Here is a 15,059-nt window from a genome sequence, read left to right as displayed (position 1 = left end):
TGGGACTGATTGGAATGTCGCAAGTTCTCTCAAATGCTTTGTCTAAAATGAGAGCTTTGTTCACCGCTGTTGTCGGGAACTCCAAAGGGAATAGGAGCGTTTTGTGGTGCTGTATAGTAGCTTCAGCAGTGCCATGTCTAGTGGGGTAAAGTAAGATGTCGGCGGTAGGCATCAACCACAGTCAAAGCATAACAAGTGGCACTGGTAGACAGAGGCAGTGGCCTGGTAAAATCTACCTGCCACATGACTAAAAGTGGGATCCAGAATAGCACACCTCAGTTGTCTTGCCAATGACAGGTATTCCCACAGAGTGCACTGACCCGTCATCATGTTGGCCATGGTAGAGGGGTGGGGAAACACTTTGTGTTTAGCCCCAGTCTTCAAGATTGGGTTCCTCATAGAGGTTCCTCTATGACTGTTGTTTCATGGGCCTATTGGGCCAAAAATAAAGGAATGGGCCTGGAAGGTCATCCAACAAAGTTTTGGTCCTAGTTTTTGAAAATTGTTGTAATCTACCAGCTTGGGAATTAAGTTAGGCTTCAGCAGTCTGAGCCTTGGTGTGGGCGGAGACATACATGATCTTAATTTATATCTTTGATATCTGAGAGGCAAGAAATTCCTGAAGTTGTTTACCCCAAGAGTATGATCTTGAACGAGAAATTGTTGCCATTGGTTGCACCAAATGACTAGAAGTGTAATTGAGGTAATTTCTTGGCCAAGGTAGCCTCCAGCGCTAAAATGACTGCCTGCAGTTCCCATCCTTCAGCAGTGTGTCTTGTTTAGAAGAAAAGCAGCAGACCTCCAGAGAGCTCCAGCTCATGTAGTGGTGGCATTACTGTCAACAAAGTATGTGTTCTCCCCTTGTTGTTTACTTACTTGATTCCAGGGCTGCCAAGGGCCCAGGAGAGAGGAGACTTCCTTCACCATGGCATCTGGCAAGAGACTGAGGACAGAGAAGGCCACCTCTTTTTCCAAGTGAGATACACCAGGGGGCCCAGGTTTGGCTCCATCCTGTATCAAGGCCTTGGTGATCAGGCTGAGCTTGTAGGTGTTGCTTTCATGACCCAGGTAATAATGTGTAACTGGGTGGAGTGTGCCATGGTTCAGGTCCTGTGAGAGCTTCTGTTTCTAAGAGGTCCCAGTATGTAGCTGGCAGTTGTTGCTCTAATTGCATGTTACATGAGGACAAAACAGGCAGTTTTTTGCACCAGAAGCCCATGGGCAGCTTATGGCCAGATGTGTGGTCCAGAGTCTAAGAAGAGAGTCTAGTGGGTAGTCCACCATGAAGGAATCTCCAGGAGGCACTAAAGGAAATGTCTGTTATATGGTCATCTGAACTGACTCTAGGGCCTTCTGTTGTAAAGGCCTCCAAAAGTGGGCTGTTTTGTGGATGGGTGAATAAATAGGCCTGAGTGGTATTTGTAAATGGAGACTATGTTGCCTCCAGGAGCAAAAGAGACCCAATAGGTGCTTGGCCAGCTTGGGATTGGTTGGAGCTGACAAAGTTAGAAGTTGCCTTCTAACAGTATCAGAAATGGAGTAATGCTAAGCACACCAGATGATGTGCACCTCAAGTGATCTGCCCACCTCGGCCTCCCAAAGTGCTGGGATTACAGGCGTGAGCCACTGCGCCCAGCTGAGAACTGTTGAAATCACCTTCGAAGGTGAATGTGTATGAGAGGCTGTTGGAATAGGTAATGAATAGAACATATATAACAGGAAAGTATTTGCCAGTGGAATAATGAATGGCTTTGTTCATGTCAACTATGTGAGGTATAGGGGATTTAATGGGTGAGACCAAAGTAGCAGAAATCTACAGTGAAATACCGTTTAATTACATTCTCTTATTTTGTGTACTAAAACTTTTCTAGAATGTTCCTTCAGTTTTTACTTCATGCTTAAATTTTTCTTTCAAATACATATAAATTTAACATACTTTCTGTTCTACCTGTGTAACACTAGAAGTAAACACTTATCTATGATTGATGATCCTTCTGGAGATAGCCTGATTTACTTGAAAACAAACAGTAGCATCTCTTCTGATTCTCCTCCACCTGATTTCCTGGTTGTTTGATTCATCCCACAGTGCTCTTCCTGGCCAAATGTCTACAGACAGCTGTGTGATCAGTTAGTGAGATGTGCTCCTCATTATCTAGCCCTGGTTCTGTGGGAAGGAGGCAACAAGTAGCTATTTTCTTCCCCAAAACATTAGTGCTATTTGTACTTTCCGTTATCACAGAATGTACCAAATATATAATATGGACAACTAAAATGTGACTGAGAGTTCTTTATCAGTAAATCCTAATAAATCCCAATGTATTTGCACTAGAAAACTTTATGTTACAAAATCCCAGAGGATTCATAATGAAAATAGACTTTGATTCCAAAATAAATGTTGGCAAATTTCATCTCAATTGTTAACTTCCATTCTTTCTCATGTTTTGTCAAGGCATTTTCAGTTCATGAAGATGAATAGAGCAAGAACTGCCTGTATTTCAAATATGTTGCCTACTTTGTTTTTTGGACAACTGATGTATTTAACAGAATAACTTAACTGTTAACTGTTAACAGTATTACAGATTGTCTTTTCACTTGTTTTCAATGAAATTTTTGATTTTAAGGGTATAAGCGTGTATCAAAATATCAAAATGTACATTTAAAAATATGTGCAGTTTGCATTGTCAATTATACCTCTTTTATATTTTTTAAAAAACAAATATTCAAAATTTGTCACTTCCTAATCATTTTACTATGTTTTATTGTCTACATTCTAGAGGCTATTTGCAGGTAGTAAACTTGCAAATAAATTTATTTAGAAGTAAATTTAAATATGGATCACTATTATGGAAATGGTATGTTTCTGATGGCTCTTCCCAACCCCAAATTCAGTGACATGATGACAGTTTGAAATTGGCCACAATGGGAAGTTTTACACCAGGGAAACTGGCATCACTATAAACCATAGCTTGATTCACTGTACTACTAAGTGTCTAGACTTAAGAATGTGATAGAGAATATGTGAATAATACAGATTAAATTTAAAAGTGTGTGGTATATATGGTAATTACACTGTGCATAGCATGAAATTAATTGTGGAACAAAAACTAGTGATTTGTTAATGAAAAGCAAAATAGACACAATTCCTAACAAACAGATAACGTATATGAACAGACATTTTATCAAAGAAGATATACAGTTGGCAGGCTGGGTGCAGTGGCTCACGCCTGTAATCCCAGCACTTTGGGAGGCCGAGGCGGGCGGATCACGAGGTCAGGAGATCGAGACAATCCTGGCTAACATGGTGAAACCCCATCTCAACTAAAAAATACAAAAAAAAAAAAAAAATTAGCCGGGCATGGTGGCAGGCACCTGTAGTCCCAGCTACTCAGGAGGCTGAGGCAGGAGAATGGTGTGAACCTGGGAGGCGGAGCTTGCAGTGAGCCGAGATCACGCCACTGCACTCCAGCCTGGGTGACAGAGCAAGACTCCGTCTAAAAGAAAAAAAAAAAAGTGTAAAAAAGAAGATATACATTTGGCAAATAAACACATGAAAAAATGTTCAACATCATGAATCCTTAGGGAAATGCAATTAAAACTACTGCACACTTATTAAAAGGGTACATTCTAAAAGATAGACCATGCCAAGTATTGGCAAGGATGTGAAACAGCTGGAATTCTCACACATTCCCAGTAGGTAAGCAAGAGCAAACAGCCATTTTAGATCAATTTGGCCATTTATCTTTTCTTTTTTTTTTTTTTGAGATAGAGTCTCACTTTGTTGCCAGGCTGGAGTGCAGTGGTGTGACCTCGGCTCACTGCAACCTCCGCCTTCTGGGTTCAAGTTATTCTCCTGCCTCAGCCTCCCAAGCAGCTGGGACTACAGGCACGCACCACCACGCCCAGCTAAGTTTTGTATTTTTAGTACAGATGGGGTTTCACCATGTTGGCCAAGATGGTTTCGATCTGTTGACCTCGTGATCTGCCTGCCTCGGCCTCCCAAAGTGCTGGGAGTATAGGCGTGAGCCACCGCACCCAGCCCATTTTTGGCCATTTCTTAATAAGTTAAACATTCATTTATCCTGTGTCTCAGGCATTGCACAAGAGAAGTGAAAAAAATGCACATATGAAGAATTGTACATTTCTAGCAGCTTTATTTGTAATAGCCAAAACTAGATAAAACCTAAATGCTTATAAACAAATGGATAACAAATAGTATATCCATAAAAAATATACCACTCAGCAATAAAAAGAATGACCACCACATATAAGCTCCATTGAAGAATCTCAAAATAATTATGCATCATGAATGAAACTGGAAAAAAAGACATTTTATTAATAAAATCATATATTATAGAAAATACAAACAAACCTATTATAAATGAAGGTATAAATCAATGGTTGCCTTGAGGGCCAGAGAGGGGAGGGAGAGCTTAGAAAAAGGCCTGAGGTAAATCCGAGGTGACTGATATGTTCATTGTAATAATTATAATGATGGTATAATGTGTTTTTGACTAGGTTTGGTAACCCTACATTAACTCTCTTTCCTGATGACCTTGGAGGGACACCTTGCCTCAGTGGGCAGCAAATACTGGTAATCAATGAAACTGATTTGAATTCATTTAAACACAGGATGATGGTAGGTTACAAAGTCACATTCCTGGAAGGACATCCCCCGCCCCTTCTTTCTATGCTTGTTTTCCTGGCCTATGCAGCAATGTTCTTGAGGTGCACATCCCAGAAAGGCTATTGGAATACACAAAACCTTTAGGTTGTTTATTATTTTTTGACAGTCACCTCAGCTACAAAAAATACACATGCCTGGAAATTCTAAGAATGTCTGTACACACTGATCCTGCACAATTACTAGAACATATTACAAGGAGCACATTCCATCTAGTTTGCTGCAGTCTCCTTCACTCCCTAGTAACCCAGTGTTTCCACACCAATTATGGTTCCCCCATCATTTTACAGTGACAGTAGCCTACTAAATTGTATTGGGGCACTTGGCTCCTTGGCAGCACTGGGGGTAGACTGCCTCAACAGTGCTGGGCAGTATGTAATAACCCTTGTGAATAACAACAAAATTCATCTTGTTCCCAGAAGCAATGGAATTTGTCACAATTTCCCACTTCCTCAGGGTGTCCTTTGAGCCCACAAAAAATCCTTGCATCCAGTCCACGAATTAAGACCATAATATCCTGCAGTATTTCCTAGAAGGCCTTGGGCAATAATTCAAATTCAGATTAGGCCAAAGCTGGAAAGACAGTTGTATTTTTCCATTATACTGTTGTCACTGAGGCATATGACACCTCCCTCTCCCTCCAAAGGTGTTTACTCTGTAAAGCTGGCAGGGCCCGATTCTGTTTTTGAACCACCTCAAAGAGTGAATCAAATGCCAAGATAAAGGTAGCTTAAATAATAATGCTTTTATTATTGTAAAAAACAAAGCAACGTGAGACAAGCAGTTCCCAAGTTGGTGACTTAGAGGCTGGAAAAAAATCCATGGAGGTGTCACATGAAACCAGTATGTCTTGAAAAAGACAGTCCTTCTTGGCAAGCTGCCAACAACACTCATATTGGGTTCTCTGGCACAAAGCTGGGTCAAGTCCATGCCCTAACTTGTCAGAGAGGAAGACTCAGACTATTCATGATTTCTTCTAGCAAATGGGGAGAAGCAGAGGTCTGCTTCCTTGAGCAGGTTCAGGAGGTAAATGATACACACTGTGTGGACCTCACAGGTGGTAGACATGATACGGCTTCTGCCTCAGAAACTGTCAGTGACATAAACGGCAAGAGCCATAAATGGCAGGTGAGAAAGTCTAACACTTTCTAAATGGCATGTTAGAAAGTGTAACACATACCTGGAACTTAAGGGGAATCCGCCCACTGTATATCCTTAGATGTTGGGGCTTCCAAATCAGGTACTTGTCTCTCTCACAGGTGTACTCCTTCAGTATAATTACACTAAAAGGAAATTGCATATTCTCAGTACAGCTAAGGCTTTTCTCCAATGTGAACTCTCTGGTGTTGAATGAGGACAGATTTGCAGCCAAAGGATTTCCCACATTGACTGCACTGATAAGGCCTTTTTCCCGTGTGAACTCTGCGGTGTTGAATGAGGCTAGAACTTTGGCTAAAGGATTTCCCACATTCACTGCACTCATAAGGCCTTTCTCCAGTGTGAACTCTCAGGTGTTTAATGAGGTTAGATTTACAGCTAAAGGATTTGCTACATTCACTGCACTCAACAGGTCTTTCTCCAGTGTGAACTCTCTGGTGGTTCTTAAGGTTGGAGCTATGGCTAAAGGATTTCCCACATTCCCCACACACATAAGGCCTTTCCCCTGTGTGGACTTTCCGATGTGAACTGAAGCTGGAGCTTTGCTTAAATGACTTCCCACATTTACTGCACTCATAGGGTCTTTCTCCAGTGTGAAGTCTCCGGTGGTGAATGAGGCTGGAGCTTCGGCTAAAGGATTTTCCACATTCATTGCACTCATGAGGTCTTTCTCCAGTGTGAACTCTCTGGTGGTAGATCAGGCTAAAGTTTTGGCTAAAAGATTTCCCACATTCGCTGCATTCATAAGGCCTTTCTCCAGTGTGAACTCTGCGATGCTGCATGAGGTTGGACCTTTGGCTAAAAGATTTCCCACATTCCCCACATTCATAAGGCCTTTCTCCAGTGTGAACTTTCCTATGGCTATTGAGGCTGTATATCTGACTAAACGATTTCCCACATTCAGGGCACGCATAAGGCCTTTCTCCAGTATGAACTCTCTGATGTATAATGAAACTGGAGTAGTAGGTAAAGAATTTTCCACATTCATTGCATTCATAAGGCCTTTCTTCACTGTGGACTTTCTGGTGCTGAATGAGGTTACATCTTCGCGTACATGCTTTCCCACATTTACTGCACTCAAAAAGTCCTTCTCTAGTGAGGATTCTCTGGTCCTGAACAAGTGTGTCTATGTGGCTAAAGGCTTTACTGCATTTTCCCCAGTTGTGATGACTTTTTCCACTGTAAAAGGCCACCGCACACTTGTTACTGTTATTTGGCTTCTCCCCTGTTTGAGTGGCGTCTTGATGGAGAAACCTCATGTTGGCCAGGAAGTCTTTCCTGATCTCCCTGCAGGTAAAGGGTTTCTCCGACACATGGACTATGCAACTCTGTGTAAACGAGGCAGTGTCCACATAACTTCTGAAAGGTGCCTCTGTAATGTGCTGCCTCTGGTGCTGTTGAAGATTTGCACTGATGTAGAATTGTTTTCCACATGTGTGTAGTTTCTGCCCGCAGTTTGTTCCTTGGTGTTCAGCCAAGTGCAAAATATCTCTCAAGACCAGGCAACATATTTCACAGGAGTCGGCATTCTGGGAAGATGAACCTTCTTTGGAAGTCCTGAACTGTGGCACTCTTTCTCCAGAAATTCTCTGTTCAGAAGGTGTTTCCTCATGTTCCACTCCACACCAACAACCTAAAAGTAAAGAGATCATGGTGAAGTACATGTTACCTTTATTAGGAGGAGACAATGCAATTGCAAATGCACATCAGTTACAGCAAAGAACCAGTATATGGGCCTGTTTTTAGGAAAAGTGAGTTGGGGGGTCAGGTTGAGGAAGCAGCTGTTGTGCATTACTTGTCCCTAAGGTTACGGAATAGGGTAGGCCCTCCCAGGTACAGTGCACAAGGCTAAGGTATGGCCCAGGACTAAGAGGCATGTTATACAATTAATTCTTCTGATAATAGCTTTTAGTGGGATCACATCTGCTGGTGACAAGTGATGCTGTGAAGTGTATGCCCAGGCCCAGGAAAATCTCACTGGAACAGTAACTGGTGTTCAGGGACTATTAAGGGAGATATGCACACTTCAGGACAAAATAATATTAAAGAACACTACAGAGGGAACAGTGAAAAGAACAGGTAGGATAAGGAGTCCAGAGAGGTGAGGATTAGCGTTAGCTAGAAGTCAAAATAAAAATGACAAGTAGTAGAAATAACAAGTTTGTAAACTGTTAAGAGTGAAGAGGGGAAGGTCGAAGTGAAGTGTCTCTGGCAATGGCATCAAGACAAGTCAAACAGGACAGGTTCCTGGTGCAATTTAAACACAGACCTGATGACATGCCTTTTCCCAAGTGCCATTCATGTAGGCCAGGCCCTCTCTGATCCCATCTTGCTGAGGCTGGAGTCATGAACATCCTGTGAAGAACAGAGGGCACTTCCCCTAGCCCTAGTTGAGCAACTACATGAGACCAGGATGATATAAGTCCTAAGGGAAAGACAGGACATGTGAGCAACTAACACTGGCCCAGAACAACACGGCACAAAAAAGAACAAGGAAAGTTAAAGAAGTTAAGTTTGTATAAATTCAAGTTAGAGTGTTGTAACTTTAGGATGTTAAATGTAATCCCCATGGTAACTATTTTAAAAAAAGAGCTACATGAAGTATACAAAGAACTGGGCGTGGTGGCTCACACCTGTAATCTCAGCACTTTGGGAGGCTGAGGTGGGTGGATCAACTGAGGTCAGGAGTTTGGGACCAGTATGGCCAACATGGTGAAACCCTGTCTCTACTAAAAATACAAAAATTAGCTGGGTGTGGTGGTGTGCGTTTGTAATCCCAGGAGGGATTACTCAGGAGGCTGAGGCAGGATAATCGCTTGATTATGGGAGGCAGAGGTTGCAGTGAGCCGAGATCGCCCCACTGCACTCCAGCCTGGGCAACAGAGTGAGACACCATTAAAAAAAAAAAAAAAAAAAAAAAAAAAAAAAGTACATAAAGGAAATGACAAGGGAAGTTTCACTAAAAAAAAAAAAAAAAAAAAGTGAGCCAAACACAAAAGAAGCAGTAATGCAGGAAATTAGGATCAAAAAAGCTATAAGGCTATAAGACATGGGGAAAACAAAGAGCAAAATGATAGAAGTCTGCCCTTCCTTATCAGTGATTACCTTAAACGTAAATGCCTTAAATGCTCCCAACTTTTAGCTTAAACTCTGCCAAAAGACAAAGATTGGCAGAATGGGTTAAAATAAAAACAACCCATGATCCAACTTTATGATGTCTACAAGAGATTTGCTTTAGATCCAAAGATGTAAATGAGGTGAAAGTGACAGCCTACAAAAAGATATTCCATGCAAATAGCAAGCAAAAAAGAGTAAGAATGGCTACATTAATATCATACAATAGAGATTTTAAATCAAAAAGGGTAACAAGAGATATAAAAGGATATTATATACTAATAAAAGGTTCAGTAGAGCAAGAAGATATAACACTTATAAACACTTATGCACCTAATAATAGACCATCAAAACACATGAGGCAAAAATGGACAGAACTGAAGGGAGAAATGGATAGTTCTACAATAACAGTTAGAGACATCAATACCTGACTCTCAGCAGCGGATAGAACAATCAGAGAGAAGAGAGAAAACAGAGGACCTAAACAACCAACTAGCTCTAACAAATATATAAAGAGCATTCTACCCAACAACAACAGAATGTACATTCCCCTCATGTGTACCAAAAACATTCTCCAGGACAGACCATAAATTAAGCCTCATTTGATTTAGACACACATCATACAAAGTATCTTCTCCAACCACAGTGGGATGAGGTTGGGAACTCTTAATAGAAGGAAACTAAAAAATTTACAAATCTGTAGAAATTAATACAATATTGAAAAACCAATGGGGCCATGAAGAAATCAGAAGGGAAATAAATTGGAGATGCAGTAAAAGCAGTACTAAAGGGGAAATTTATAGCTATAAACATTAAAAAGAAGAAAGATCTCAACTCAACAATCTATTTTTACAACTTAAGGGATTATAAAAAGAGGAACAAACTAAAACCAAAGCTGGCAGGAAAAAAATAATAAAGACTAAAGTCTAGATAAATAAAATAGAGAAGAGAAAAACAATATAAAAAAAAAATCAACAAAACCAAAAGGTGTTTCTTTGAAAAGGTTATCAAAATTGACAAACCTGGCCGGGTGCAGTGGCTCATGCCTGTAATTCCAGCACTTTGGGAAGCTGAGGTGGGTGGATCACCTGAGGTCAGGAGTTCAAGACCAGCCTGGCCAACATGGTGAAACCCCATCTCTACTAAGAATACAAAAATTAGCCAGGTGTGGTGGCATGTGCCTGTAACCCCAGCTAATCGGGAGGCCAAGGCAGGAGAATTGCTTGAATCCAGGAAGTGGAGGTTGCAGTGAGCCAAGATCACACCACTGCACTCTAGCCTGGGTGTCAGAGCAATACTCTGTCTCAAGAAAAAAAAAAAAAAAAAAGACAAACCTTAAAGAAAAGCCCTTGACTTGATGGCTTCACAGATGAATTCTACCAACCATTTAACTAAGAACTAATACTTATCCTTTTCAAATTCTCTCAAAAAACTGTAGCATACACACATCTAAACTCATTCTGTATGGCCAGCATTACCCTGATTCCAAATGACACAAAGATTGTGTAAGAAAATAAAACTACAGACCAATATCCTTGATGATTATTAATGCAAAAACCATCAACCAAACACTAGCAAACTGAATTCAACAGCATATTAAAAGGATTATGCACTACGACCAGATAGAATTTATTCCTGGAATGCAAGGATGGTTCAACAAACAAAAACTGATCAAAGTGGTGGCTTACACCTGTAATCCCAGCTACTTGGTAGGCTGAGGCAGGAGGATCGCTTGCGGCCAGGAGCTTAAGACCAGCCTGTGTAACATAGCAAGACCCCATCTCTAAAAAAATTAAAACGATCATCTCAGCTGATGCACTGAAAGCATTAGACAATATGCAACACTTTTTCGTGGGGAAAACACTCAGAAAACCAGGAATACAGGGAAATTACCTAAACATAATAAAATCCATATGCAAAAAAAAAAACCTACAGCTAAAATTATACTCAACAATGAAAGACTGAAAGATTTTCCTCTAAGATTAAGGACAAGATAAGGATGCTACTTTTAGCACTTCTGTTCAACATAGCAATTAGGCAAGAAAAAGAAAGAAAAGGGACCAAAATGGGAAAGGAGGAGTAAAATTATCCCTGCTCACAGATGATATACATGGAATACCATAAAGATTCCACTGAAAAACTGTTACAACTAATAAGGAAATTCAGCAAATAGGAGAATATAAATACAACATGCAAAAATCAGTTACGTTTCTATACACTAATGGTGAACAATTTGAAAAGTAAACAATTCCACTTATATCAAAAAGAATAAAACATTAAAGATTAACTTAACCAAACAAGTAAAAGCCTTGTACACTAGAAACTACAAAATTTTGCTAAAATGAATTAAATAAAACATTAATAAAATAGATCACATGCCTGCTCATGGACTAGAGTGCTCAATATTGTTAAGATGTCTATACTAGCCAAAGTAATCTATAGAAAGTGCGATACCTATCAAAATCCAAATGACGTTATTTTGCAGAAATAAAAAAATCCATCCTAAAATTCATTTGAAATATCGAGAGACACAGAATAGCTAAAACAATCTTGAAAAGGATGAAAGTTGGAAGACTCACAGTTCGTAATTTCAAAACTTACTGCAAGGCTATAGAAATTAAAACAGTGTGGTACTCCCATAAAGAAAGACATATAGATCAATGGACTAGAAGAGACCCCAGAAATAAACCCTCAAATATCTGGCCAAATGATTTTTGACCAGGAGAAAGAAGACAAATTTTTAACACATGATGCTAGGAAAACTGGATATCTACATGTGAAAGAATGAAGTTGGTCCCTTACCTGACACCACATATAAAAATTAATTCAAAACAGATCAAAGATCTGAATGTAAGTACTAAAACTATAGAAGTCTTAAAGCAAGGAAAAAGCTTCATGACATTGGACTTGTTAATGATTCCTTGGATATGATATAAAAAGCATAGACAATAAAAGTAAAAAAGTAAAACTGAATTCATCAAAATGAGAAACTTGTACATCAAAGGATCCTATCAACACACTAAAAACGTAACCCACAGAATAAGAGAAAACATTTGCAAATCACATATCTGATAAGGGAATATCTAGAACACACAGATAACCCTTAAAGCTCAATAAAAAATTATATTTAATACTTCTAATTATAATTAATAAAACCTAATTTAAAAATAGGCAAAGGACTTGAATAAGCAATATCATTTGAAGATATACAAATAGCCAATCAGCACATGAATAGATGCTCAATATCAGTAATCTGCAAATCACAACCACAGTGAGATATCACCTCACACCAATTTGGATGACTTATCAAAAAAATCAGAAAATAACAAGTGATGGTGAGGGTGTGAAGAAACTGGAACCTTTGTCAGCTGCTTGTGGGAATGTAAAATGGTGCAGCTGCTATGAAAAACAATTTTAGTGGTTCCTTAAAAATTAAAAATAATTACCTTATGATCCAGAAATTCTACTTTTGGGCCAATACCCAAAAGAATTGAAAGCAAGGACACAAATACGTATCTGTACACCCATGTTCACAGTAATATTATTCACAACAGCCAGAAGGTGAAAACAACCTGTGTCCACTGATGAAGGAATGGATAAACAAACTGTAATACATACAAAAGAATATTATTCAGCCTTAAAAAGAAGCAATTCTGATATATATTACAACATGGATGAATCTTGAAGATATTATGCTAAGTGAAGTAAGCCAGATAGAAAAGAACAAATATTGTGTGATCCCACTCATATGAGGTACTTACAGTAGACAAATTCATACAGACCAAAAGTAAAATGGTGGTTGCCAGGGGATGGGAAGAGTTATTATTTAATGAGTACAAAGTTTCAGTTTTATAAGATGAAAAAGTACTATAGAAGGATGGTGGTGATGGTTGCACAATAATGCGAATGTACTAAATGCGCTGAACTATATACTTGAAAATGATTAAAATGGTAAATTTTGTTATATATATTTTACAATTAAAAACAAAGAAAAACACCTTGAAGGAGGTTTCTATAAGAACAGTCTGTGTAATGTCTCTGCGGCACAATTTGTTAGAGTGTTCTGCTGTTAATGGAAAGGTTGGTGGTTGAAGAACAGTCTGTGTAAATAGTGGCAATGTCAGTGACTACATTTCATGTCACAGTCTAGCACAAATAAATGTTAGGTACACGAAGGGAGGGAAAACTGGGTGCCATAGATCTAGAAAGTCACCAGACAGGGAGAAGGCAAGTCAGGTGGGATCTATTAGGCTTACTGTAAGACTACTGATCCCAAATCCTTACCCAAGATGCTTTTGGGCTGGGACGATAAGGGAAGTAGGCTTGCACTCAGTCCACAACATCTACCCAGGGAACTGGGGAAGGAGGCAGTGCCTATAGTCCAGATATGAGGACAGAGCTGCTCCTGAGGAAAAGGAGAAACAGAGAGCCTAGTCCAGGGCACAAGGGTGAGTATGAGGGCCTTACCCAGGGAGGACGTAAGTGCAAAGTTCTCCAGCATCACATCGAAGTACAGGTGTTTCTGAGCCTCATCAAGGAGATCCCATTCCTCCCAGGAGAAGTACACGGCCACATCTTCAAAGGTCACACTTCCCTAGCATAATAGGGATTGATGAAACCATGAACAGTCTCAATTTGGAAGACTCAAAATCCATGTCCCCATACATTCTCCTCCCAAGATCCCCAAGTCAGAAGAGACACCAGACCTTGGTGTCATTGATCCCTGCTGTCTCTTCACATTCCCATTAGTCACTGTGTTCATTCTGTTTTCCACTCTGTATCCTGTCAACACTTGGGTTAGATAAATCTCCCTCCTCTGATCCCAAACTCCAACTTCCTCACAATAGATGCCAAACTTCACAGAAATAAAGGAAACCTGCAGTTCCCTGAACCAGCTCAGCCTCACCTCCAAGGAGTTCCAAAAGCTGGTACCTACCTGTTTCTATCATAAATTTTCACCCATCTTTCCATTGGCTGCTCCAAATGGAAACATTGGCCTGGACTCAGGGCCCTTAGCTCAGGGATTCTCCAGGGTTCCCAAACCAAACGCTGAGAGAATGGTAGGTGAGTCCCATGACACCACAAATCTAAAGAAAATATCTGTCTGGGGAGGGTGGAGGGACATTCCAGACCAGTGAGGGGCTGAGATACCTCCACTTACCTGTGTAAGTTTGAAAAGCACCTCTGTAGCTATGGGAACCTGTGGAAAGACGCAGGCCTCAGAGGAATGTGATCATGGCAGTGCTCCATGGGCACAGGCCTTCCCTGTACCCTTGCCCCGGCCCAGAGCCACGTAACTTTGGGTCGACTGTCTAACCTGTGCGCCTCGGTCCTTAGTGCTGCCTCTCACCAGTTGTGTGGCCTTGGAAAAATATTCAACCTCCCTCTGCCTCAACGTCCTCATCCATCTCTAAAGTCTTTTCTTCCACTGAACAGCCTGCAGAGGATTTTTCAAATTTAACTCAGATGGTGTCTCTCGTTTGCGCAAGCTCTCTATGGCTCCCACGGCCCTAAGAATAAAGGTAGATCTCTCTCAAACTTTGTTCCCTGCAGTAACAATGTGGAGCCCAGGTTCCTGAATGCCCCCTTCTCGGTTGCCCGTCCAAGCCCTGCACGCGCCGGTCCTGTCCCTTGTCCCCCTGCCCACCACATCGGATGTCAGAAATAGGGGCCCCACCCACGAGCCTCAGTGTCCCCGACCCTGTGCTACAGAGACGTGAGCTGGTGCCTCTCACTTGGGACTTAAGAATCTCGGCCGGGGGAGGCCCGGAGATCGCAGCGCTCACCGAAGCCGGGTCCCTCAGTGCGGTCGCCATCCGAGTCTGTGGGCGGAGCTGGACCGGGAGCTGCGGGCGACCCGGGGGGAACCCGAGCATCGCTATCCCCAGGCCGGCCTCGCGGGCGGCTCTGCCCCCGACCCTCAGACCTGACTCTCGCGCCTTCACGGTCCGTCACTTCGATCCCGATGCAGCGTACCAAAGCGGCTGACAGACAGAACGGACCTCCGGGAGGGCAGCCAAAATGACCGCTGCGAAGACGCCACAAGTCCCGCCCTGGGGGGGGCGGGGGTAGACCCACACGGAAATGCCCCTGTCTTGGATTTTCA

The 15,059-nt window shown here is 41.3% G+C and overlaps 1 protein-coding gene across 10 annotated transcripts, besides 2 other annotated features; it reads right to left on the bottom strand.

Moving 5' to 3' along the window:
• Positions 4,135–15,008, bottom strand: ZNF211 (zinc finger protein 211). Of its 10 annotated transcripts, NR_049752.3 has the most exons (6): positions 14,740–15,008; positions 14,271–14,390; positions 14,115–14,153; positions 13,421–13,547; positions 8,109–8,264; positions 4,135–7,472 (listed from the first exon to the last, which is right to left on the bottom strand). NR_049752.3 is itself a non-coding variant. In NM_001265597.3 (5 exons), exons 1-5 carry the CDS (start codon positions 14,827–14,829, stop codon positions 5,995–5,997), a joined length of 1,890 nt encoding a protein of 629 aa, NP_001252526.1. In that variant the 5' UTR covers positions 14,830–15,008; the 3' UTR covers positions 4,135–5,994. The 10 variants fall into 10 exon arrangements, 7 of the variants coding, with proteins under 7 accessions (NP_001252526.1, NP_001309235.1, NP_001252528.1 ...); NR_049753.3 differs by lacking the exon at positions 8,109–8,264 and having other exon boundaries at positions 14,271–14,463; NR_049754.3 differs by lacking the exon at positions 8,109–8,264.
• Positions 5,968–6,168: a silencer, noted in NCBI's record as "peak3574 fragment used in MPRA reporter construct". NCBI's record gives its function as "represses an SCP1 promoter by STARR-seq MPRAs in K562 erythroleukemia cells {active_cell/tissue: K562}" and the evidence as "EXISTENCE:reporter gene assay evidence [ECO:0000049][PMID:32103011]".
• Positions 14,689–14,758: a silencer, noted in NCBI's record as "silent region_11078". NCBI's record gives its function as "represses an Ori minimal core promoter by ATAC-STARR-seq in GM12878 lymphoblastoid cells {active_cell/tissue: GM12878}" and the evidence as "EXISTENCE:reporter gene assay evidence [ECO:0000049][PMID:35858748]".

This window comes from Homo sapiens, chromosome 19 (genome assembly GCF_000001405.40).
Source record: "Homo sapiens chromosome 19, GRCh38.p14 Primary Assembly".
In the NCBI taxonomy this organism is placed as follows: Eukaryota; Metazoa; Chordata; class Mammalia; order Primates; family Hominidae; genus Homo; species Homo sapiens.
The sequence above is the reverse complement of the archived record's forward strand: the minus strand, read 5'-3'. Positions and strand labels throughout refer to the sequence as shown.